This window comes from Homo sapiens, chromosome 4 (assembly GCF_000001405.40).
Source record: "Homo sapiens chromosome 4, GRCh38.p14 Primary Assembly".
In the NCBI taxonomy this organism is placed as follows: domain Eukaryota; kingdom Metazoa; phylum Chordata; class Mammalia; order Primates; family Hominidae; genus Homo; species Homo sapiens.
In genome coordinates this window covers 128,780,688-128,806,539 of record NC_000004.12, presented here as the reverse complement: position 1 = coordinate 128,806,539, position 25,852 = coordinate 128,780,688, and the positions used below count along the sequence as shown (strand labels likewise).

General features: G+C 43.0%; 1 annotated feature.

Annotated features, from left to right (window-relative positions):
• Positions 2,996-3,915: an enhancer, noted in NCBI's record as "OCT4-NANOG-H3K27ac-H3K4me1 hESC enhancer chr4:129723780-129724699 (GRCh37/hg19 assembly coordinates)". NCBI's record gives its function as "activates a minimal SCP1, AML or CMV promoter by ChIP-STARR-seq in primed H9 embryonic stem cells {active_cell/tissue: H9 hESC(primed)}" and the evidence as "EXISTENCE:reporter gene assay evidence [ECO:0000049][PMID:30033119]".

Genomic DNA, 25,852 nt, shown 5'->3' with positions numbered 1-25,852 from the left:
TTATGAAATAGAAATTTGGATATTTATATTCATATTCCTGATTTTGAAACCAGACTTGATTAAACCTCTGAATGTTTACTTAGTCATTTCATCTACTTCTCTGTAGGTAAAGAATTATAAGGCCTTGATAAGAGATTCAGAATTGTTCATATTTGAAATGAAGGGATGCATACACTAAAGTCCTGTATTATCTCATTCCTTTAGGGAAATGAGCAAGAAATTCTTACTGGCAAATACCACTGTCAGTTGGTATACATTCCAACGAGATAATTTTTTTTTTTTTCAAGATCAGGGTCTCACTCTGCCACCCAGGCTGGAGTTCAGTGGTCCCAACATGGCTCAGTGCAGCCTCCACCTCCAGGCCTCAAGCAATTCCCCCACCTCAGCCTCCAAAGTAGCTGGGAACACAGGCATGAACCACCACACCTGACTAATTTTTCATATTTTTTGTAGAGACAGGATTTCACCGTGTTTCCCAGACTGGTCTCAAACTCCTGAGCTCAAGCGATCCGCCCTCCTCGCTCTCCCAAAGTGCTGGGATAATAGGCGTGAGCCACTGCGCCTGCACCCAGAGAGAAGAATTTTTTTTTTTTTTACTGTAAAAGGGCAATCTTGGATAAAATGGGTTGTATCCTAAAAGTTTATTTGCATGTACTTTAATTTTTTTGGAATTTTGTGCCAAAAATGTCTTGTTACTAAAGAGGGCTTAGATTGTTGTTTTTAAAAATAATTCTAATAACTAAATGATAAAAAATAACTTTTTATTTTTCAACCAGGCGTGGTGGCTCACACCTGTATTCCCAGCACTTTGGGAGGCTGAGGCGGGTGGATCACTTGAGGTCAGGAGTTTGAGACCAGCCTGATCAATATAGTGAAAACCCATCTCTACTAAATATAAAAATTCGCTGGGCGCGGTGGCTCACGCCTGTAATCCCAGCACTTTGGGAGGCCAAGGCAGGCGGATCACAAGGTCAAGCGTTCAAGACCAGCCTGGCCAACATGGTGAAACCCCGTCTCTACTAAAAATACAAAAATTAGCTGGGCGTGGTGGTGCATACCTGTCATCCCAGCTACTTGGTAAGCTGAGGCAGAAGAATTGCTTGAACCCGGGAGGCGGAGTTTGCAGTGAGCTGAGATCTTGCCGCTCTACTCCAGCCTGGGTGACAGACCGAGACTCCATCTCAAAAAAAAAAGAAAAAAAAAAAAGAAATTACCCAGGCGTGGTGGCGCATGCCTGTAATCCCGGCTACTTGGGAAGCTGAGGCAGGAAAATCGCTTGACCCAGGAGGCGGAGGCTGCGGTGAGCCGAGATTGCACCATTGCACTGCAGCCTGGGCAATGAGAGCGAAACTCCATCTCAAAAAAATAATAATAATAACTTTTTATTAACTTTGTTGAGTAATATTGTATGAGGGAGGGATGTAGTTCAAAGAGGAATAAGGACATATAATTCTTTTTTGTTTTTTAACACCCCTTGTCCTAATGTATGGTACATATAATTCTGAACAAGAAAAGTTGAGAGCCACAGTCAACACCTATCTGAACTCCGTGACACAGGAGATGAAGGGTAAGAGATTAGGACTAGAATTCCTTGTCTGACCTGTTGGTGAAGTCACCAGTCCTTAACAACATTTTAGCTCCTCCAGGCAGGTCATTACAACCTCCAAATATATGGAATATTTGTTTCTTGTTGGTGTCAGTACCAACTAAATTACTTTCTTCTTGAGATTCTTTCTTCCCCTTCTTTTTGTTTTCCTTTGCTTGCTTTTCATTTTGGTTGTTTTAATTTTGTTGATTTCCATACTTTTAGTGAAAGTAAAAATGTCAAAGAGAAGTAAGTATGAAATGGGATAACAGGAGATAATTCCACCAGATGGAAATGACCAAAGCTGAGGAGGTTCAAAATAAGTAAAGCTCTTCCCTAATCATGAAAGGAATACATGATAATGAAATTTTGAAAATTTAGAAAAATGAAGTAATAAAACTCAACCATATGGATAACTATTATAAACATTGTCCATTTTTTGGTCTTTTTTCTATGCATTTTTCCTAAAATTGGAATGATGCGACACATTCCATTTTACATCCTTCCTTTTCACTTACATCTTTCAATTTTTCCATTTGGGTATTAAATACTTTTATGCAATGTTTGTGCATTTCAGGTCTTTGACCCCCTCTGTGTTATTATACCTTCCTCCACAGGTTACTTTGGCTATTCATTCTCATAGCTACTCTCCCTGGACCTTGTCAACTACTGGAAATTTCTGCCATCTTTATTATCAAACTCAAGTATCTCCCATTTTGACCACTACCTTTCAGATTTCCAAAGTCTATACATCCCACCTTACCCTTCTTTTTATCTGAAAGTCCTCTGATCTACCCCTCCAGCCTTTTCTTACCAACAACAGAACGGATGTAACTCATAAGGTCTCTAATCAGCAGCAGCAGCACCTGAGAACTTGTCAGAAATGCATTATTTCCAGCCCCACCCCAGACCTACTGAAACAGAAAGTGGGATCCGGCAATCTGTGTTTTAACAACCCTTCCTGGTAGTTCTGATCCACACTCAATCAGAAAAACACTTATGTAGGTCTCACTCCCACCTACCACCTCTAACCAACTGTTTTCTGAACTTTCTTGTCTAATGTTTCTTCATTCCTCAGACAAATGTGTTAAGCAATTAGTATGTCCCAGGCACAGGGCTGGCTAGGCACTGGAGACAAGGTAAAACAGGCAAGTAGGCCTATTCTTTGTCCACGGGCCAGTAGAAAATATTAAAAAGTGATTTCAATAAACTCCAGGGTTTGGGGGAGGCATATAGCATACACCTGATCTGCCTGGTGGGAAGAGGGTGGTCAGAGAAGACGTCAGTCTAAAAATAAGTGACACTAAAGCTGAAACCCGAAGGCATCAGCCAGGTGAGGAGGAGGAGGATGGGGGCCAAATGTTGACTTTTTACAAGCCCTTTGGCTTCAGGGTAGGGAACTGGATGGGTTGGGAGGGCGGCGGGTTTGTAGACTGGAGAGAGTAAGCCTAGTTAGGAGGCTAGATGACAGTTGAAGGCAGGCTGAACTATCATTGTTGATTGTGGAGTGCAGATAGGCAAACAAACCACCCTGTGATGAGGGCATCGTTAACACTGTCTCAGCTCTTCAGAGGCCTCCAGCTCCCCCAGTTCTGGAGCTGCTGCTCTAAGGGGTACCTGGGGGATGTCTCTGGGGTTTACAGAGTCCCTGGGGCATGTCAGGAGGGTGTCCACAAGGCAGAGGCAGTGTTTGGGGCAGAAAGCAACATGTAGGGGAAACAAGCAAAGCTCCTGATGGGCAGTGAGTAGGTGGAAGTCCTGGTACAGGGGGATCCAAGTCCTCTCCCAGCACCCAGAGCTGAGGCTCAAGCAGCATGGCTGAGCAGAGGAGGCCTCCCTGACGGTGCGTGGGGAGGACTCGGGCCCCTCATAGGGGTCCTGCTCCAACCCCTCTTCTTCCAAAAGGCCTGGATCAGATCCCAGGACTCCCTAGCATCCTGGGGTCACCACCCCATAGTTTCTTTATCCCTCCACCTGAAAGCTTCATTTTTCCCCACTTTCTTCCACAATTCACCTTAATGGCCCATTATAACCTGAGCCCAAATCATTAGCAAATGAAGAACCAGGTTCACTTTTCTCTAAGGCAGAGCTGGCTTGGTGGGGAGGCGGGAGAGGAAGCAGGGAGGGAGGTACTCTCCCACTGGTTTAGTTCTAATGTTAATGAAGCAAAAAAAAGGAGGTAAAGCAGCTAAGTTTCTGTGTTAAAACTGCTTGAAAATTCACTTTTGTGTGTGTGTGCATGTCGGAGGGAGTGTGTGTGTTTCTGCCACGAAACATATTTAAATGTAGATAAGACTTGATGGGTTAGATGTCAGAGATGAAGGAGAAGTTGGAGTAAAAGATGACTCCAAAGTCTGTGGCTTAGAGAACTGAGTGGATTTCTTTTTTTACTCAACCAACAGTTGCTCATTGAGCACTGAGTTCAGGATCTATAATGGTAGACACAAATCCACCCCTGTCTTTCTAGTGTTTACTTTTATTCTCGGAGACAGTGGGAATATGATGAGTTCAATTTGAGGTGCCCAGGAGACACCCAATTGAAGATGCCCCAGAAGGCAGATGGGAACCAGAAGAAATCTGGTACTGGAGAGAAAGGCTGGGTTGCAAATATTGGATTAGGAGCCATCAGCATAGAGAGATTAACTGAGGCCACCAGAGTGGATGAGATCAATAGGACGTTTCCATAAAGTGAGAAGAAAACAGAGCCTAGGCTAGAAACTAAAAAGAAGCATTTAAAGAATGGGCAAAGGAAGCTGCAAAGCTGCAATGGTTTCCTTGAAGACAGTCCTAGAATAATTCAAACATATTAGCCTTCTTCATTGCTGAATTTGGACTTCTAAGCTACTGGAGAAAGTCACAGATCTGTGCTGATTGGTTCCAGAATACACTCATTATCCCCCACCTCCACAATGCCCTGAAATCACTCTGTTTTCCTAGTCAGTTCAGTCTGCATTCTCCTGCCACCTGCCTCAGCACTTTCACTGGAGCTTCTAACCTACGTCACTATCACGGAGGTAACAAGCCAATGAACAAGAATGCCTTCAGCTTCAGCTTCTGGCACCAAACTTGCAGACAGTCTTCCTTACAGGCCCATCCTTGCTCTTCTTTCCTGTGGGAAGCTGACCTTCCCTCCACTTGTGCCCAGATTCCCCTCCCAAGTCCCTGAGACACCGAAACTCAAGATGCTGGTCTCAAACTCAAGATTAGCCCTTCTCTCTCAGGTCCCTTCTTCTTTTCCTACTCACTCCTTCTCAAACACATTTAAATATACTTATGTTCCCCACTAAAAAAGCCCCCTTCCCCTTTACAGCCACACTTTTTAAAAGAATGGTCTACGCTCACACTTGAATATACTGAAATCTGACTTATGCTCTCTGTCACCCCACCCAGCTCTTGCCAAGATCACCATTGATGTTCTTATTGCTAAATCTCATGGCAATTTCTCATCCTTGTTTTATTTGAACTCTCACCAGCATTTCACACTGTTGTCCATTCATGCCCTGTTTTCTTATTTTCACCTGGCTTCCATAACACCAACATTCTGATGATTTCTCTCCTACCTCTCTGGCTTCTGCTCATTCCCTTGCAGATTTCTTTTTCTTTTTTGTTAAGGTAGTGTTTCTGACAAATTGGTTTTGAGCACATGAGAAAGAGGCTTTTTGAAAAATCCAACCGAAGGAGTAATTTTGGTTGAGATATTTTATAAGAAAAAAAAAAAAGAATGGTTCCCTAACCATGTTTAGAATGGGTACAAAAAAAAAGAACATCTGGTTAAAGATTATTAGGCTAGTCAATCAGCTGGGTGGGTAACCCTAGCTTCCCAGAAGGAGTTTTCAGTCTTATTAAAGTCTGTCAGAAAACTGTTCACGCACTTTATGAGGAATGCTAATTGCTTCCCAGAAGGAGTTGTAAATTACATCACACAAAAAATTTCTGTCCCAGACCAGGTTTGAGTCCATTTTCTTTCTCACTTTCAGTCTCTTAAACATTGGTTTTCTTTAGAGTTCTGTCCTAAGCCATCCTCTAATTCTACATATATCCCTTGTGTGATCTCATCTACTCCCATGACCCCCCAAACACATGTCTACACAGCCAGTTTCACACCTGACTTTCAGACTTGTATCTCTAAAAGCCTCCCGAACATTCCCTTAGACTTCCCACATGCATTTCAAACTCAGTGTTTCCCAATCTGAACTCATTTTCCCTCCCACTTTGTGCCTCTTCATCTGTCTCCAGTCTCAGTTAGTGGTACCACCATCCGCAATTGCCAACCCGAGAGCCAAAACATCATTCTTGACTCTTGCTTTTCCCTGACACCTCCTCCACTACTGTCAGCAATTCAAACTATCATCAAGTCACTTCTACATCAAGTTTCATCTCCCCATCCCTACAGACAGGGTCATCCTCTCAGTGACCTAAACCACTGTCTAACTGGCTTTCCTGCCTCCAGCCTTATCTTCCTCCAAATCATTTCCTACTCAGTAGTTAGTGTGATCTTTTTAGAGCAAAGTCCATGTCATTTGTCAGAATCATAAATGATCATGCTATTCCCATTTAAAGCCTTTAATTCCTTTTTTTTCCTTTTTTTTTTTTTCCTGTTTACTCTTAAGGATAGAAAGTCCAAACTCAGCAACATAGACTATACGGAACTGATTTTCTGATTCCTACTCACTTTTGCTAGCCTTCCTTCCAAACTCTCCTCCAGTCCCATGCCTGTTTACTTTTCTTCATGGAATCCCTTGAGAAATTTTGAAAATGCTTATCCCTACCTAAGCTTGGGTATTTCTTCCCTATTTACAATGTTTCTTTGGGCTCATTCAAGTTTCAACAAAAAACCTTATCCTACCTCCCTAACTCCCACCCTTCTCTATGCTTCCATGACACTCAGCACTATACCTGTATTGTCACTTCTCTCACTGTTTTGTAAATTTTTTGTATCCCTCATTAGACTATCTGTGATTCAAAGATTTTGTTAATTGTGCCCTCCGTGTGTCCCTAGCATTGGGCCTAACAGTTGGTAGGCACTTAATAAATGTTTTGAATGAGATGAATGATCATTATATCCATGTAATTAAATAGTCTCTAAAACACTATTTTAAAAACAGATTGTAACTTTCATTCTTGTTTTCTTATGGCAAAAGTAATAAATATTATTATTATTATTTTGAGACAGTCTTGCTCTGTTGCCTAGGCTGGAGTACAGTGGCGTTATCTTGACTCACTGCAACCTCCGCTTCCCGGGTTCAAGCAGTTCTCATTCCTCAGCCTCCCAAGTAGCTGGGATTATATGCATGCACCATCCCGCCCAGCTAATTTTTGTATTTTTAGTAGAGACAGGCTTTCTCCATGTTGCCCAGGCTGGTCTCGAACTCCTGGTCTCAAGCGATCCACCTGCCTCGGCCTTCCAAAGTGCTGGGATTACAGGCGTCAGCCACCACACCCGGCCAAATATTATGTTTTAAAGAAGCCATACTTAAAATGAAAATCACCAAAAATCTTTTAGTCACAGACTATCACCACTAAAATTTTGTTGTATATTTTTCCTGGTTTTTGTATGTTTGTGTAAGTGCATCCATATGTACCTAAGTTTTTTAAAACAAATGTGATTATACTGTAATTCTATTTTGTGACAGTTTAATTTATCCATAGGGTTGGGCTTTGGGATTATTTCTACATGTTTGCTAGTATAAAGAGTGCTTTAGTGTATATCCTTATTGAAGAGAGCAAAATCACCTGGTGGCCATTGAACAGGCCCGGGAGACAAAAACTCCTTACCTGGGGAATTTAGAAGGGAGCAAACACCACCTGGTGACTATCAAACAGGCCATCCAGAGGCAAAACTCCTTCTCTGGGGAAAATTAGAAGTAATTCGACTTCCTTATTATCTAAAGCAGGCATCTGGTTTCAGATTTCTTTCCCTCAAAAAAATTTATAAGTAACTAGAATTTCTATACATCTCCAGAATGCCATGCCAAAACTCGTTGTGCAAGCCTTGCTGACATTAAGGCACCAAAATGTCTACAAATGGAATCATCTATCATGACCTACATGGCTAATGTGGTCCAAATTACCCATAAATGCTCCTAAGGAAAAATCCACCACTGCACTCAGTCCTCTTGCTGAGGCACTCAGCTACACTCTTCTGCAGTGTTTTCTTTCTAATAAACTTTCCTTTTTCAAACCTATACTGTTGTCGGTACATTCTTTTTACCAACCTGCTAGTCCGCCACTTCCCAATGTCGGGGCTCTGACACCTTACCCAGCATTTATAGCTACAGAATTGTACTGATGGTATAATATTCCATCTATAAATGGAATTTACCCTGATTCCTGATTTTTTTTATTTTTTTATTTTTTTTATTTTTATTTTTTGAGACAGAGCCTTGCTCTGTCACCCAGGCTAGAGTGCAATGGTGTGATCTCGGCTCTCTGCAACCTCCACCTCTCGGGTTCAAGCGTTCCTCCTGCCTCAGCCGCCCAAGTAGCTGGGACTACAGGCATGCACAACCACATCTGGCTAATTTTCATATTTTTAGTAGAGTCGGGGTTTCTCCATGTTGGTCAGGCTGGTTTCAAACTCCTAACCTCAGGTGATCCGCCCACCTTGGCCTCCCAAAGTGCTGGGATTACAGGCGTGAGCCACCGTGCTGGGACTCTGATTCCTGATTTTTAAAATTAGTATGCATTTACATTTTTCTAAATTTTTATTTATTTATTTATTTTTATTTTTTATTTTTTTTTTGAGATGGAGTCTCGCTCTTTTGCCCAGGCTGGAGTGCAGTGGCACAATCTCGGCTCACTGCAAGCCCCACTTCCCGGGTTCACGCCATTCTCCTGCCTCAGCCTGCGGAGTAGCTGGAACTACAGGCGCCCACCAGCACACCCGGCTAATTTTTTTTTGTATTTTTAGTAGAGACAGGGTTTCACCATATTGGTCAGGCTGGTCTCAAACTACTGACCTCAGGTGATCCGACTGCCTCGGCCTCCCAAAGTGCTGAGATTACAGGCGTGAGCCACCGCACCCAGCCATATATAAATTTTTTTATTCAAGTATCTGACCATTCTTAGGATGGATTCTGAAAAAGGTAAATTACTAGGTCAAAGTATTCAATGTTTTGGATTCATTTTGCTGAATTGCTTTCCACAGAAGTTGAAAAATTGCTTTCTACAAAAACATTTCTACAAAATGTTTTAATTTAGATTCTCCACTGTCAGTGTATTAGGGGCCACTTGCCCAACATAGAGCTGGACTCTATGGAAGACTAGGGCCATGGCATGCCCTTGAGGAGATATGTCGTTGGTGAGATACATAACACATACAGGAAACAAAGATAGTTTGACACATATAAGAATACCACAAACAAATTGGAGATAGGAAATCCTATCAAATGCCAAAGTCTGTTGAGAATGTTGTTTAATAAAAGAAGTAGAATAATTAAGACCAGAAGTAGAGAGAAAGAATTGGAGACTCTGGGGAAGCAGATGATGAGTTGGGGAAGGTATCCAGAAAAATCTTTGCATGGGGGGATGGGAAGGAGGAGGACTAAAAATTATTGAATGTTTTCTATGTATGTGCTAGGCAGTGTGCTAAGCATTTTACACATAATGTTTCATTTACTTCTCACAACAATCCTGTGATGTAGGTATTATTATTTTCATCGAGATGTGAATGATGTGAAACATTGAGTTTCAGAGGTATTAAGTAACTTGCTAAAGATCACAAAGCTGCTGAGAGGTGGCACCAGGTTTGACCAAGCTAGTTGGGTTCCAAAGGCCACGCCCTGAAGTACATCACTCAATTGACTCATTGCAAAGTCTGAAATATTTATCTAATGAGGAATTGTACACATGATTTGGTATCAGTGACTTGAGCCATAGTTGGCACTCAGTAGATGCTTGAGGGAAAAAATGAGGACAGAAAGAATTCCACATGCTAAGGCTTATTTCAGACATGAGACATGTCAAGCAGGATCTAAACACCTACTTAAAAATATGTGACCATGGACTTAAGTGTAAAACGTAAGCTATAAAACTCTTAGAAAAAAATAAGGGAAAAATGTTAAGATCTAGAGCTAGGCAAAGAGTTCTTTTACTTGATTGCGATAGCACAACCCATAAAAGGAAATATTGATATATTGGATCTCTCAAAATTAAAACTTTGCTCTCCAAAAGATCCTATTAAGAAGATGAAAAGACAAGCTACAGAAAATATTCACAAACCACAAATCCAACAAAAAACTACTATCTGGAATATATAAAGAACAGTCAAAACTCAAAAATTAAAAAATCAAATAGGCCAGGCACGGTGGCTCACGCCTGTAATCCCAGCACTTTGGGAGGCCGAGGCGGGCAGATCACGAGGTCAGGAGATTGAGACCATTGGCTAACACAGTGAAACCCCATCTCTACTAAAAATCCAACAGATTAGCTGGGTGTGGTGGCACGTGCCTGTAGTCCCAGCTACTCAGGAGACTGAGCCAGCAGAATCACTTGAACCCCGGAGGTGGAGGTTGTACTGAGCAGAGATCACGCCACAGCACTCCAGCCTATGCAACAGAGCAAGACTCTGTCTTAAAAAATAAAAAAAAAAATTAAAAAAAAATCGAATAATTCAGTTAGAAAATTGATTTAAAAAACGTGAACAGATATTTTCATAGAAGACATGCAGATGGCAAATAAGCACATGAAAAGGTCTCCGACATCATTAGCCATCAGGAAAATAATGTAGATTTCAACTTCGATGAGAAATCACTACAGTTACTATCAGAATGGCTAAAATAAAAATAGTGACAACATTAAATGCAGACAAGGATGTAGAGAAACTAGATAACTCATAATTGCTGATGGAAACTTAAAATGGTCCAACCATTCTTGAAAACAGTTTGGCACTTTCATATAAAACTAAACATGCAACTCCCACATGACCCATCAGTTGTACTCTTTGACATATATTCCAGAGACACAAAATCTATGTTCATATAAAAGCCTGTGCTCAAATATTCATAGCAGGCCAGGCGCAGTGGCTCAGGCCTGTAATTTCAGCAATTTGGGAGGCCAAGGCAGGCGGATCACCTGAGGTCAGGAGTTGGAGAACAACCTGGCCAACATGGCAAAACCCCGTCTCTACTAAAAATACCAAAATTACCCAGGCATGGTGGTGGGCACCGGTAATTCCAGCTACTCGGGGGGCTGAGGCACAAGAATCACTTGAACCCGGGAGGCGAAGATTGCAGTGAACCATGATCATGCTACAGCACTCTAGCCTGTGCAACAGAGCGAGACTCCATCTTACACACACACACAAAACAAATATTCATAGCAGCTTTAATGATAATAGCCAAAAAACTGGAAATGACCCACTTATCCTTCAATGAGTGAATAAACGAACTGTAGTACATACCACAAAATATTACTCAGAACTAAAAAACAATTAAATATTGATATATACATGAATCTCCAGGAATTATGCTGAGTTAAAAAAAGCCAATACCAAAAGGTTTCACACTCTATGGTCCCATTTAATTAACATTCTTGAAATGGCAACATTATAGAAATAGAGAATAGACTAGCGGTTGCCAGGGATAACGAGGGGCTCGGGAAGGAGAGAAGTGTACACATCTGTAAAAGAGCAACAGGAGGGATTCTTGTGATGATGAAATTTTTATAAATCTTTATTCTGTCAATGTCAATATCCTTGTTGTCACATTGTGCTATAGTTTTGGAAGATGTTACTATTGGGGGAAACAGGGTAAATGGTACATGAGATTTCTCTGCATTATTTTATTATTTTTTTTTAAAAAAACCTCTTAAGTGCTGAGAGCACTCCTTACCCAATAGGTAGCTTCTGGCTTCAGCTGCATTCCTTCTTTCTTTTCTTTTCTTTTCTTTCTTTCTTTTTTTTTTTTTTTTTTTTTTTTTGAGACAGAATCTCACTCAGTTGCCCAAGCTGGAGTGCAATGGCGCAATCTCGGCTCACTGCAACCTCTACCTCCCGGGCTGAAGTGATTCTCCCACCTCAGCCTCCCGAGTAGCTGGGACTACAGGTGTGCACCACCATGCCTGACTAATTTTTGTATTTTTAGTAGAGACAGGGTTTCACCATATTGTCCAGGCTCGTCTCGAACTCCTGACCTAAAGTGATCCACCCACCTCGGCCTCCCAAAGTGCTGGGGTTACAGGCGTGAGCCACCACCCCCGGCCTGCATTATTTCTTATAACTGCATATGAATCTACAATTATCTCACAATTAAAAGTTTAATTAAATATATATATATAGTAAATCAGAAGAGAAAAATATTTAAACACTAACATATTCCTAGAAAGTAACCTAAAAATACTTAGAAAGTAACCTAAAAGATAAAGGAATTTCGTTATTTCATTCAACAGAGCCACATGAATGAAAAATTCATGTTGGCCATAGGTTATGCTGATGTATACATTCCTGAGATTTCTGTTCTGTTGCAGGAAGGCATGCCCTTTCAGGACTAGTAGAAACAGAGGGATAAGCAGAGCTGCAGACGTAGCAAGAGAAAATGGAAACAACAGAGGAATGGTTCTTCTTAGAGCCCTTTATAAATATTCTCTGTCACCTGGCTATCTGTTTTCTACCCAAATGACCAAAAGGAATAAATGACTGTGCCCTATCTGTGGTAGCGACCCGCCAGGGACCTGAGGGCAAGGGAAGAATCTAAGTCTTGCCTCACATATGTCAAATCTTACCTAATCTCTCACACATATTTCTCCACTCTAGTCCTGAAGGCTTCACCCTGAATGCCCTCCTCACCCTCCCAGAATCCCATCCCCCTAGCCACCTCACTACCCAGAATGGAGCATCCACGCACACATCTAATATATCACTGCCTGATTTCTAGTCGTGGATCCAGTCCACTAGGTCACTCTGTAACATTCATCTTAGTTTTAAAAAACATGAGAGGGACATTGTTGGCAAAAATCCATGGGTAATGAATTCTATGTTCTAGAAACAGTGAAACTGAACTATTTCAATTTGAAAGTAAGAGCTGGCAAGAAACCAACAGAGCGAAGTCCTCTTGGGGGAAAAACAGGCTGGTTAGTTAACTTGTAGGTCTGTAAGGTGGGCAGATTTCTTTAAAAAGCAAACAAAGCAATTTTAGACTTGAGAGACTTAATTGCTATCCAAGGCCAAGAATATGAATAATGTTATACAAAAACTTTGCTCAAGTGAGAATTCTGCAATTGAAGCATTCTGACTCTAATAGCCAAAGTTTAAAGGAGAAGACTGTAGAAAAGGATGTTTATTTATCCACTCATATATTATTATATAAACCATTCATGGTATTGAGATATAAATCTCATCTTTTTTTTTCACTGTGGTAAAAAAAGGTTGATGCTTTTCAGAATTTCTATGTCTAAGGAAAAGAGTCAGGCTAGGCGTGGTGGCTCATGCCTGTAATCCCAACCCTTCAGAGGCCAAGGCAGGTGGACTACCTGAGGTTGGGAGTTCAAGACCAGCCTGACCAACATGGAGAAACCCCATCTCTACAAAAAATACAAAATTAGCCGGGCATAGTGGCACATACCTGTAATCCCAGCTACTCAGGAGGCTGAGGCAGGAGGATCACTAGAACCCGGGAGGCGGAAGTTGCAGTGGGCCAAGATCACACCACTGCACTCCAGCCTAGGCAACAAGAGCAAAACTCCATCTCAAAAAAAAAAAAAAAGAAAGAAAGAAAAGAAAGAGTCAAGAAGAGTCAAGAAGCTGCTTTTGTAGGTTACAGATAATGTTAGGATTCTTTTGCATTTGTTCTTCCCTCAATAAAATGAAAAATTTTTTTATGCATAAGGTAAAATTAGAGAACTAATAATGACTTAACAGCAGTTCTAGATCACTTTGTAATGAAGGACAGGAAAGGCATATATAAATATAATTCAAAGATAATAAAACATTTATTTGATTTAACCCTTTCCCTTTCTCATATCTCTCCCTATCCACCTAAAATATTAGCAAAGAAGTGGGAGAAAGTCACACAGGAAGACAAACAACAAAGTAAAGAATCTGAGAAAACTTCACCTATGTCATCTTTCTAATTATAAACATCATTGTAAGCATCATTGGATGGACAAAGATTTATATATAAAAATTCTCATTTTGGCTGGGCGCAGTGGCTCACGCCTGTAATCCCAGCACTTCGGGAGGCTGAGGCGAGTGGATCACTTGAGGTCAGGAGTTTGAGACCAGCCTGGCCAACTTGGTGAAACCCCCTCTCTACTAAAAATACAAAAAATTAGCTAGGCGTGGTGGCAGGCACCTGTAATCCCAGCTACTCAGGAGGCTGAGGCAGGAGGATTGCTTGAACCCGGGAGGTAGAGGTTGCAGTGAGCCGAGATTGCGCCACTGCACTCCAACCTGGACAACAGAGCAAGACTTTGTCTCCAAGTCACATTTTCAAATAGTAAAAATTAAAGAGTGCAAATACCTACTAATGGTAGGGAAAAGGAAGAAAGGAAACTCATGTGGTACCAGTGGAAAAGTAAATTGTTATAGCCTTTTAGAAAAGTAATCTGGCAGTATCTATTCAAATAAAAAAATATACTATTCAAACAAGAAGCCTGATGTAAGCAAAGAGTATCAAAAATTTTTTTCCTAAAGAAAATAAAAGCAGGTAAGGACTATGCTCTAGACTCCTCATATGAAAGCACAGAATAATTTTCATGTAAATAATCAAAATGGAGGGAACGCCTTTTGAACTCCCTGACCCCTCTTACAATGTCTATGGGGGCCCAACCCTGTGATCCTCAAGCCTTGCCCTTCTCTTTACATACCAGCCCTTCAGGTCATATCATCTCTCATCTGGTAACCATTCGATGATGTTTATGGACCCCCATATTGCACAATGCATCTAAATTCTTCCGTTTCTTCACTCTCTTCCTCCCACCCCACCATACAATTATGTTAAAAATGGCCGAGTCTGGTTAACTCTGGATCTGTGGTGTGTCTCCCGCCTGTCCCTTTCTACGCATTCCTACACCTGCTATCCTGACTGGGCACTGTATTACCTTTCACCTGACATTGAATAGTGTAACTGGTTTTCCTGCTTTTTTTTTTTTTTTTTTTTTTTTTTTGAGATGGAGTTTTACTCTTGTTGCCCAGGCTGGAGTGCAATGGTGCGATCTCAGCTCACTGCAACCTCTGCCTCCCAGGTTCAAGCGATTCTCCTATCTCAGCCTCCCAAGTAGCTGGGACTATAGGCGCTACCGCCATACCCGGCTAATTTTTGTATTTTTAGTAGAAACGGGGTTTAGCCACGTTGGCCAGGCTGGTCTCGAACTCCTGACCTCAGGTGATCCATGCGCCTCGGCCTCCCAAAGTGCTGGGATTACAGGTGTGAGCCACCGTGCCCGGCCGGTTTTCCTGCTTCTTTATCCCTCCCTGTTCCAAGTTAGGTTACACACTATGACCAGCAGTCCTCCATGAAACTAGGACCATGATACTATCCTGTCCAGGACACTTGATGCCTCCTCACTAGGTAGAGAGCAAACCCCAACTCCCCGGCACAACACTCCAGGTTTCTGAGTACCTGGCTCTAAACAGGATCTGAACTTGCAGCCCCGGCACCTTTGTGCATTGAAGCAGTGTCCTGAGTTGAACAGCATTCCTCCAAAATGTATGTCTGCCCAGAACCTCAGAATGGGACCTTATTGGGAAATAGTGTCTTTGCAGATGTCGTGAGTTAAGATGAGGTCTAGTTGGATTAGTGTGGGCCCCAAAATCAATGACTGGTGTCCTTAGAAGAAAGGCCATGGTCGGGTGCAGTGGCTCACACCTGTAATCCCAGCACTTTGGGAGGCTGAGACCTCTGAGACCTGGGGTCAGGAGTTCGAGACCAGCTTGGCCAACATGGTGAAACCCTGTCTCTACTGAAAAAAAAACAAAAACAAAAACAAAAAACAAAAACAAAACTAGGTGTGGTGGCACGTACCTGTAATCCCAGCTACTTGGGAGGCTGAGGCAGGAGAATAGCTTGAACCCAGGAGGCAGAGGTTGCAGTGAGCTGAGATCACACCACTGCACTCCAGCCTGGGCAACAGAGACTCCATCTCAAATTTAAAAAACAAAGAAGAAGAAGAAGAAGAAAGGCCATTTGAAGACAGAGAGGCACACAGAGTGAAGACAGCCATGTAAAGATGGGGGTAGAAATGGGGTGATGCAGCTATAGGCGAAGGAATGCCAAGGATTACAGGCAGCTGCCAGAAGCTAGAAATTGTCGAGAAAGGATTCCTCCTTAGAACCTTTAGAGGGAGCACGGCCCTGTGGACACCTTGATTTTGGACTTCCACCTTCTAGAACTGTAAGAGAATAAACGTCTATTGTTTCAAGCCTATAACAATAGGTAATTTGTTATAGTAGTTGTAGAAAACTAATACAGGCTGGGTGCGGTGGCTCACACCTGTAATCCCAGCACTTTGGGAGGCTGAGGCAGGAGGATGGCTTGAGCCCAGGAGTTTGAGACCAGCCAGGGCAACATAGTAAAACCCTGTCTCTACACAAAATCAAAAATTAACCATCCTCTAGTCCCAGCTACTTAGGAGGGTGAGATGGGAGGATTGCTTGAGCCCAGGAGGTCAAGGCTGCAGTGAGCCATGATCTAGCTCACTGCACTCCAGCCTGGGTGACAGAGTGAGACCCTTTACCAAAATAAATAAATAAATAATAATACAATAGGAATTTTTTAGTGGCAAAGAAGAAAAAGCAAAAACCTCAATTTAGCTTAAGGAAAAATAAAAATGTATCATAAAGATATTACTGTATTCCAGGGAATCCAAGGTCAGAAATGCAGCTAAGACTCATGAATGTCCAGAATCAGAGACACACAGGCCACCAGTGTTCTCTCTCTATGACATTTCTCTCCTTTGTATCTGCCTCAATTTTTTCTCTCTTTTCCTCTCTCTCACTCCTCTCTCTCTCTCTCTCTCTCTCGTTTCTCTCTCGGTCTCTCTCCATGCATTCTCAAAGTCATAGTTATCAGTAGATTCCAGGTTTATCTTTCATACCCAAAGGGAAATTGACTACTTTTTCTCAGTTTCAGTTCCAAAAGTCTCAGGGAAGAACTGATTGGTTTGCTGGGTAAGAATTCTGCCAATATTCAATAGCCAATACTATGTGGTCAGGAGGTGGGATCTCATGGTATGGAGAAGATGATTCATCCCTGTGGATGAAGTGGTGCTGGGGTGGGAAGGGAAAGAAACCATAGGTCTGTGATATTCATGCTTTCCTTTTTCTGGAAATCCCTCTTTCTCTTATTCTTTATCTCTGCTTGTTGAAATTGTACATGCCTTCCAAGGTCTGGCTTAAACATCACCTTTCCCACAAAACATGTCAGTCTTTGCCACTAGAACATGAATTCTCAAAAGCAGATACAGTATATCTTATTCCTTCCTATATTCTCTTTCCCTAAGCAAGCCTCAGATGTTTATGGATGCTCCTTGAAGCCTTCCTGGGTCCACCGATTCAGAATTCATCCCACCCATCTCCAGGCTTCTATGATACTTTGAATTTCTTTTACAGCACTTGCCATCTTCTGTCTTTCTTTCTTTTTTTTTTTTTGAGATGGAGTCTTGCTTTATCGCCCAGGCTGGAGTGCTGCAGTAGCTCAATCTCGGCTCACTGCAACCTCTGCCTCCTGGATTCAAGCGATTCTTCTACCTCAGCTTCCTGAGTAGCTGGGACTACAGGCGCATGCCACCCTGCCCACCTAATTTTTGTATTTTTAGTAGAGACAGGGTTTCACCATGTTGGCCAGGCTGGTCTTGAACTCCTGGCCTCAGGTGATCCACCTGCCTCGGCCTCCCAAAGTGCTGGGATTACAGGCGTGAGCCACTGCGCCCAGCCCTGTCTTTTCTTTGAAGATACTTATAAACATGTTTCCCCTCCTCTCCAAGGTGTCAGGTCATTGTAGACAGGGTCCAGTACTTTGCACATGACAGTCAGGCAGTAACTCTTTGTCAAATATAATTCCCCCTCCCCACCCCCTCAAAAGTCCAATTAATATGTAAAGTTAGTTTCAATGGAAATATAATTGCACATATAATGCTAATGTATTTTGAGTCCCAGTATAGGTCCCAGTTTCTACTATTCTCAACTCACATGATGGGCTCAAACCACACCTTCTTTTCTGGGACAGAGTCGTGCCCTGTCGCCCAGGCTGGAGTGCAATGGCGCGACCTCAGCTCACCTCAACTTCTGCCACCTGTGTTCAAACGATTCTCCTGCCTCAGCCTCTCGAGTAGCTGGGATTACAGGTGCACGTCACCATGCCCGGCTAATTTTTTGTATCTTTAGTGGAGACAGGGTTTCACCATACTGGCCAGGCTGGAAACTGCACCTCTTATTTTATTTTATTTCATTATTTTTTTGAGACAGGGTCTTGTTCTGTCATCCAGGCTGGAGTGCAGTGGCGATCACGGCTCATTGAAACCTCTGTCTCCTTGGCTCAATCAATCCTCCTACCTCAGCCTCCTGAGTAGCTGAGACCACAAGCACCCGCCATCACACCTGGCTAATTTTTTGTATTACACCTTCTCGCATAATGTAGTGAAGACCCCTCTACCATCGTGGCTGGGCCTTGGACGTTAGTGACGAGAGTGAAGACATCCTGCCAGAAGTTCATCCATTTAGGCCCTGAGTACTGCAGGAAGGAGTGGGAGACAGAAGTAGGGAAAAAGGAGCCTTGGCACAATGCCAAGGATCAGGAGGGGCGATCACCCACTGGGATGACAAGAGCTGCGGGGCTTTTGCCTGCGTTACGGAGAAAAATGCTGAGAGACCAGTGATTCAGGGCTGAGTGCACAAGTTTTACTGCCAAATGGGAAACCCAATCCAGTATAGTTAGACTGCGAAGATGAAGTTGGGGGAGGAGAAAGGCAGTGGGTCTTGTCAAGCCAAGATTCCACCCGTGGTCTGGGTCACTTATCAGACAAGCGGTACCTCTAGCCTTGATCGGCTAGCGATTCCTGGACTTGTGACCTGAGCCTGCTGGCTACCCTGGGTGGGATTTGAGAATAAGCCTTATCTACTGGGCCAGCCAGGAACGGCTGTGGCTGGAGACCGCAGTACTGTATCGGGGCCCTGAATGTCGGAGCTGTGCTTTGAAGCTGTGCCCCGGACTGCTGGTCTGGCAGGGCCTGGGTGGGGAAGAGGAGGCCTGCAGAGAAAAGTTGCAACCCAGAGGTCAGGGCAGCTCATCTTTGGTTGCTAAAACTGCGTGAAGGGCAGCAAAGTCGGGAACCTCGCACGTGCCAGTGTGGAGAGCAGGCCACCTCACTCCAGCACTCCAGGCTTTTGAGACTTCCTTCCTGCATCTGGACACCATCCCAAGCCAAGAGCACCAACTGAGAGTTGGACTTTGATAGAAGACAGAAAAATACAGTTAACAGGAAATTTAAGAACACTCTTGCCCCACATCCAAGCTGGGCAGGGGGTTTAGGAATAAGACCAGTTACAGCAAGTTTTATTTATTTATTTATTTTTATTTTTATTTTTTTTTTTTGAGTTGGAGTTTCACTCTTGTTGCCCAGGCTGAAGTGTAATGGCACAATGTCGGTTCACTGCAACCTCCACCTCCTGGGTTCAAGCGCTTCTCCTGCCTCAGCCTCCTGAGTAGCTGAGATTACGGGTGTGTGCCACCACAACTGGCTAATTTTTTTTGTATTTTTAGTAGAAACGGGTTACACCACGTTGGCCAGGCTGGTTTTGAACTCCTGGCCTCAAGTGATCCACAGGCCTCAGCCTCCCAAAATGCTGGGATTACAAGTGTGAGCCACTGCACCCGGCCCAGTTATAGCAAATTTTAAAACAGTAATATATTACAACCAAAAATGAAATGTGAGGCTCTGCCACTCACTATTAATCAGTGTTTGGCTATGTCTTCATTGTACATTGATCAGTCATGTCACTACAATGTGGTGAATTTGCAGCTCTTATGCTCAGGATCCTCTTTGGGTTTTTACTGTACTCTTTGCTTAATACAGCCACAATTAGTTCTGCAGGTCAGTTAGGAGTCCCTTGGACGATCAAAGAGCAAGTTAATAAAGAAAGACCATTACGCCACGGGCTCAGCTCCTTCGGAGAGACAAGAATCATGCTGTGAATTGGTATTAAGGCCAGTGCATCATTTATTACATGCACAGAGCACAGTGAGGACAAGGGGTTCCTGGGGACAGACAAACCCAGACAGGGGCATGGCTTCTGCTTCCCTTCCCCCATCCTGCGGCTTCAGCACTGAGGGGCTCATAGCACTGGAGCAGCTAGCCTCGCAAGGCAGCTAGAGACAGGCCCAAGCTTATTCAGTCAGGGCCTGACCCATCAGCCAAAATCTCTCCCCAACCTCCCCTTCCTTATCTGCCATCCAATTCAATATATTCCCTCAAAGGCGGCTTTTGCAAATAGAAAAAATTATTAATATTCAGGTCAGCGTGGTGGCGTGCACCTGTAGTCCCAGTTACTCTGGAGGCTGAAGTGGGAGGATTGCTTGAGCCTAAGAGATGGAGGCTGCAGTGGAGCCGAGAGCATGCCACTACACTCCAGCCTGGGCAACAGAGTGAGACTCTGTCTCAGAAAAGAAAAAAAGAAAGAAATTATTCAGAAGTTGCCTGGCTTTGAAAATTAATATTTGACTTTACAAAATCAAAACCTTCGAGGATTTTTCTGTAAGCTTATAAATTCAACTTATAAATTGTACAGATATAGCTAAATTTAATCACTTTTGAGGAGGGTTTTGATTAATGTTTGGTCAAATTTATACATTTACTTAATTGGTGGGGCGTGGTGGCTCACGCCTGTAATCCTAGCAGTTTGGGAGGCCGAGGCAGGTGGATCAATTGAAGCCAGGAGTTCGAGACCAGCCTGGCCAACATGGCAAAACTCTGTCTCTACTAAAAATACAAAAATTAGCCAGGCGTGGTGGCACATGCCTGTAATCCCAGCTACTTGGGAGACTGAGGCAGGAGAATTGCTTGAACCGGGGAGGCAGAGGTTGCAGTGAGCCGAGATTACGCCACTGCACTCCAGCCTGGGCAACACAGCAAGACTCTATCTAAAAAAAAAATAAAAACAGCTGGGTGCGGTGGCTCACATCTGTAATCCTAGCACTTTGGGAGGCTGAGGTGGGCAGATCACCCGAGGTTGGGAGTTCGAGAGCAGCTGACCAACAAGGAGAAACTGCGTCTCTACTAAAAATAGAAATTAGCTGGGCATCCTGGCACATGCCTGTAATCCCAGCTACTGGAGAGGCTGAGGCAGGAGAATCGTTTGAACCCGGGAGGCGGAGGTTGTGGTGAGCCGAGATCACGCCATTGCACTCCATCCAGCCTGGGCAACAGGAGTGAAATTTTGTCTCAAAAAAATAAATAAATAAAATAAAAACATACAGAATAGGCTGGGTGCGGTGGCTCAAGCCTGTAATCCCAACACTTTGGGAGGCTGAGGCAGGCGGATCACCTGAAGTGGATAGTTCGAGACCAGCCTGACCAACATGGAGAAACCTTGCCTCTACCAAAAAAATACAAAATTAGCCTGGCGTGGTGGTACATGCCTGTTATCCCAGCTATTCGGGAGGCTGAGGCAGAAGAATCACTTGAGCTCTGGAGGCGGAGTTTGTGGTGAGCCGAGATCGCGCCACTGCACTCCAGCCTGTGCAATGACACTGAAATTCTGTCTCAAAAAAATTTTTTTAAATAAATAAATAAATAAATAAATTTACTTAACCTACTTTAAGTATTTTATCTGCATTTGTAAACTTAAAGTAATTAATTTATTTTGTCAAGTACTTCAGTTGTATGACTGACAAAAATTCCTTTTCAAGTATTTATGTGATTCATATATATGCAATCGATTAATCTTAAAAATATGTTAATTTTAGGTTCTTTTAAATGTCTAATATTACATTTACATTTTGAAATATTTCCACTTAAAATCACAAATGTAAGTCAATTACTTAGATCATATGTTTTAAATAAGTACTACACGACTAATATATTTTTCTTTTTTCTTTTCTTTTTTTTTTTTTTTTTTTTTTTTTTTGAGAAGGAGTCTCGCTCTTTCGCGCAGGCGGGAGTGCAGTGGCGCGATCTCGGCTCACTGCAAGCTCCGCCTCCCGGGTTCACGCCATTCCGCCTCCCGGGTTCACGCCATTCTCCTGCCTCAGCCTCCAGAGTAGCTGGGACTCCAGGCGCCCGCCACCACTCCCGGCTAATGTTTTTTTGTTTTTTGTTTTGTTTTGTTTGTATTTTTAGTAGAGACGGGGTTTCACCGTGTTAGCCAGGATGTTCTCCATCCCCTGACCTGGTGATCCGCCCGCCTCTGCCTGCCGAAGTGCTGGGATTACAGGCGTGAGCCACCGTGCCCAGCATGTTTGATTTTCTTAATCATTTCTATATTTAATTGTCAACCTACCTAGGTTTAAAATACATATTGCTTTAAGCCGGGTGTGGTGGCTCACACCTGTCATCCCAGCACTTTGAGAGGCCAAGGTGGGCGGATCACCTGAGGTCAGGAGTTCGAGACCAGCTTGGCCAACATGGTGAAACCCCATCTCTACTAAAAATACAAAAATTAGCCAGGCATGGTGGTGCGTGCCTGTAATCCCAGCTACTCAGGAGGCTGAGGCAGGAGAATCCCTTGAACCTGGAAGGCGGAGGTTGCAGTGAGCTCAGATCGCACCAGGGCACTCCAACCTGGGTGACAGAGTGAGATCTGTCTCAAAAAACAAACAAATAAAATAAAATAAAATAAAACACTTATTGCTTTAAAAAACAAAAGATTTTTCTCAAATTCTTTTGAATATACCTTCCAAAGCTGGTATTGCACGAAGTCTAGAGCCACATATTTCTACGGGGGCCAAATGCGGTAACTGACACGTGTAATCCCAGCACTTTGGGAGGCCAAGGTGGGAGGATCACTTGAGTCCAGGAGTTTGAGACCACCCTGGACAACATAGGGAGACCCCATCTCTACAAAAATTAAAAATTAGCTGGATGTGGTAGTGCTCGCCTGAGATCCCAGCTATGTGGGAGACTAAGGTTGGAGGATCACTTGAGCCCAGGAGGTTAAACCTGCAGTGAGCACAGCACCTTAGCTTGGACCATAGAGGAAGACCTCGTCTCAAAACAAACAAACATAAACAAATACCTAGGGAATTCTGTTCATAACACCACTACCAGGAGATGAGTTCCTTTTACTCTTAATATGACATGAACTTTAGAACTTAAAAAGGAGTTGTAGCCAGCCTCCAAAATAACCCCCAGAGATTCTCTCACACCTCATAGTCACTCCCTTGGGTGGATACTTCCACTCTGAACAGGGCTGACCTGGAAAATCAATAAGACAGTGTGGAAATGATGTAGAGTGACTTCTGAAGCTAGGTCATCAAAAACATTTCTACTTCTACCTTGCATGCTCTTGGATCATTTGCTCTGGACGAAGCCAGCTACTCATGCACTCCTGTGGAGCAGTCATGTAGTGAGGAACTGAGTCCTCCTACCAATGGCCAGCATTAGCTTGCCATGAGTATGAATCACCCATCTGGGAAGTAGATCCTCTAGCCCCAGCCAAGCTTTCAGATAACTGCAGCTCACACCAACATTTTGACTGCAACCTCATGAGGGATCCTGAATTAAAAATGAGCCACTCCATTCTGCCCTCTTCCTCCCCCAAAGCAACAACAACAAGGAAACACCAGAAACATCAAGCAGCTCCTAAATTCCTTCTTTTTTTTTTTTTTTTTTTTTTTTTGAGACGTTGTCTCGCTCTTTCACCCAGGCCGGAGTGCAGTGGTGCAATCTTGGCTCACTGCAACCTCTGCCTGCCAGGTTCAAGCAATTCTCTGCCTCAGCCTCCTGAGTAGCTGGGATTACAGGCGCCTGCCGCTACGCCTGTCTAATTTTTGTTTTTGTATTTTTAGTAGAGACGGGGTTTCACCAAGTTGGCCAGGCTGGTCTTGACTCCTGACCTCGTGATCCACCCACCTCGGCCTCCCAAAGTGCTGGGACTACAGGCTTGAGCCACCGCTCCCGGCCAGCTCCTAAATTCCTAATCCACAGAATCCCTGTAAAATTATAAACATTTATTATTGTTTTAAGCCTCTAAAGTTTGGAGTAATTTGTTTCATAGCAATACATAACTAATAAGAAATGCTCACATTAGCCCACATCTTTGAACCTAAATCATATCATTATCTAATTTCCAAGCCTGATTAGCTCCTATAAACCTCCATTCAGTGATTACACCATTTGTTTGGATTAAGCTATTGATTGTTTCATCTCATCCTGAATTCTTTTTCTATTCCTTCTATCTGTTAGGTCCACAATTCTACAGAGATTCTAGATCATACCTAATTCTGTGGCTTGTCAGCCTATTCCTGACACACTATCACAACTCCAAAGCGTGGCGTTCTGCTGCCACCTATCATCACAGCCTCCTCCTAGTCACCAGATTGACAGTTTATGTTCTAACAATAAAAGATGGAGGCATCTTTTTCCCAAATCTACTGCTCCACTGTTTGTGAAGTCTAATAAGCCATCTTAACATGGCTAAAAGAGAACCCTGGATTTTTGTCTATCCTCGCCTACTTTCCCCATTCTTTCACAGCCCCATAAATGGCATCATCATCCATCCAGTTGCTCATACCAAATACCTTAGAGTCATTCTGGATTCCTTTCTTCTTCTCACACCATTGGCAATGCCTTTAGACTCTCTCTCCAGATACATCCTGGATTTGTTAACTTCTCTTCATCTTCATTCCTAGCAGCCTAGACCTAGTTACTGTCTTTCACCAGGACTACTGCCATAGTCTCCCAACTGTAATCCCTGATGCTTTTCTCTGGTTTTCAAAAATCAACTGTTGTGAATAAAACAGCTGTAAACCGTCACATAAGGGTCTTTCTGTGACATATTTTATTCTCTTGAGTAAATACCAAGAAGTAAGATTGCTGTGTCATATGGTAAGTACCTGTTTAATTTTATAAGAAAGTGCCAGAAGTTGGGCACGGTGGCTCATGCATGTTATCCCAGCACTTTGGGAGGCAGAGGTGGGTGGACCACGAGGTCAAGAGATTGAGACCATCCTGGCCAACATGGCGAAACCCCGTCTCTACTAAAAATACAAAAATTAGCTGGACGTGGTGGTGTTTGCCTGTAGTCCCAGCTACTCACGAGGCTGAGGCAGGAGAATTGCTTGAACCTGGGAGGCGGAGGTTGCAGTGAGCCAAGATCTCGCCACTGCACTCCAGCCTGGGTGACAGAACAAGACTCCATCTCAAAAAAAAAGAGAAAGAGTGCCAGACTTTTTTTTTTTTTTTTTTGGTAAGGAGACAGGGTCTCACTCCCATTGCCCAGGCTGGAGTGCAGTGGCGTAATCACAGCTAAACTGCAGCCTCGACTTCCCCGGCCCAGGTGATTCTCCCACCTCAGCCTCCCAAGTAGCTGGGACTCAGATGCGCACCACAATGCCTGGCTAATTTTCTGTATTTTTCATAAAGATGGAGTTTTGCCATATTTCCCAGGCTAGTCTCGAACTCCTGGGCTCAAGCCATCAGCCCTCCTCAGCCTCTCAAAGTGCTGGGATTACAGGCATGAGCCACCATGCCAAACTATTTTTTAAAGCAGATATACCATTTCGTATTCCCATCAGTAACATGGGATTTCCACATCCTCTCCAGCACTTGGTATTGTTTTTTTTCTTTTTTAAGCCATTTTATTATGTGTGTAGTTGTAGTAGTTCTTTTTTTTTTTAAATTTGCATACAGTGAAATGTACCAATCCTAAGTGTACCATCCAAAGAGTTTTTATAAACGTGTATACCCATATAATCAAGATGTAGAACATTTTTATTACCCTCATAAATTCCCTAGTAACCCTCTTTCAGTCAATCCTTGTGCCCCTAGAAGCAGCCACTTCTATTGCTATCACCATAGGTTAGTTTTACCTCTTCTTAAACCTCATAAAAGAAATAGTACAGCATATACTGTTTTGTGTCTGGCTGGTCTTACTCAGCATAATGGTTTTGAGATGCATCTATGTTATTTTGTGTATCAGTAGTTCTTTATTTTTATTGCTGAGTAGTATTTTATTGTATGAACATATCACAATTTGTTTATCTAGTCACCTTTTGATGGACATTGGGGTATTTCCAGCAATTTCATTCGTAAATATTTACCCAAGAGGAATTAAAGCATATGTCTCCAAAAAGACTTGAACAATAATGGCCTGCTTTCTTTCTTGATTCATTACAATCC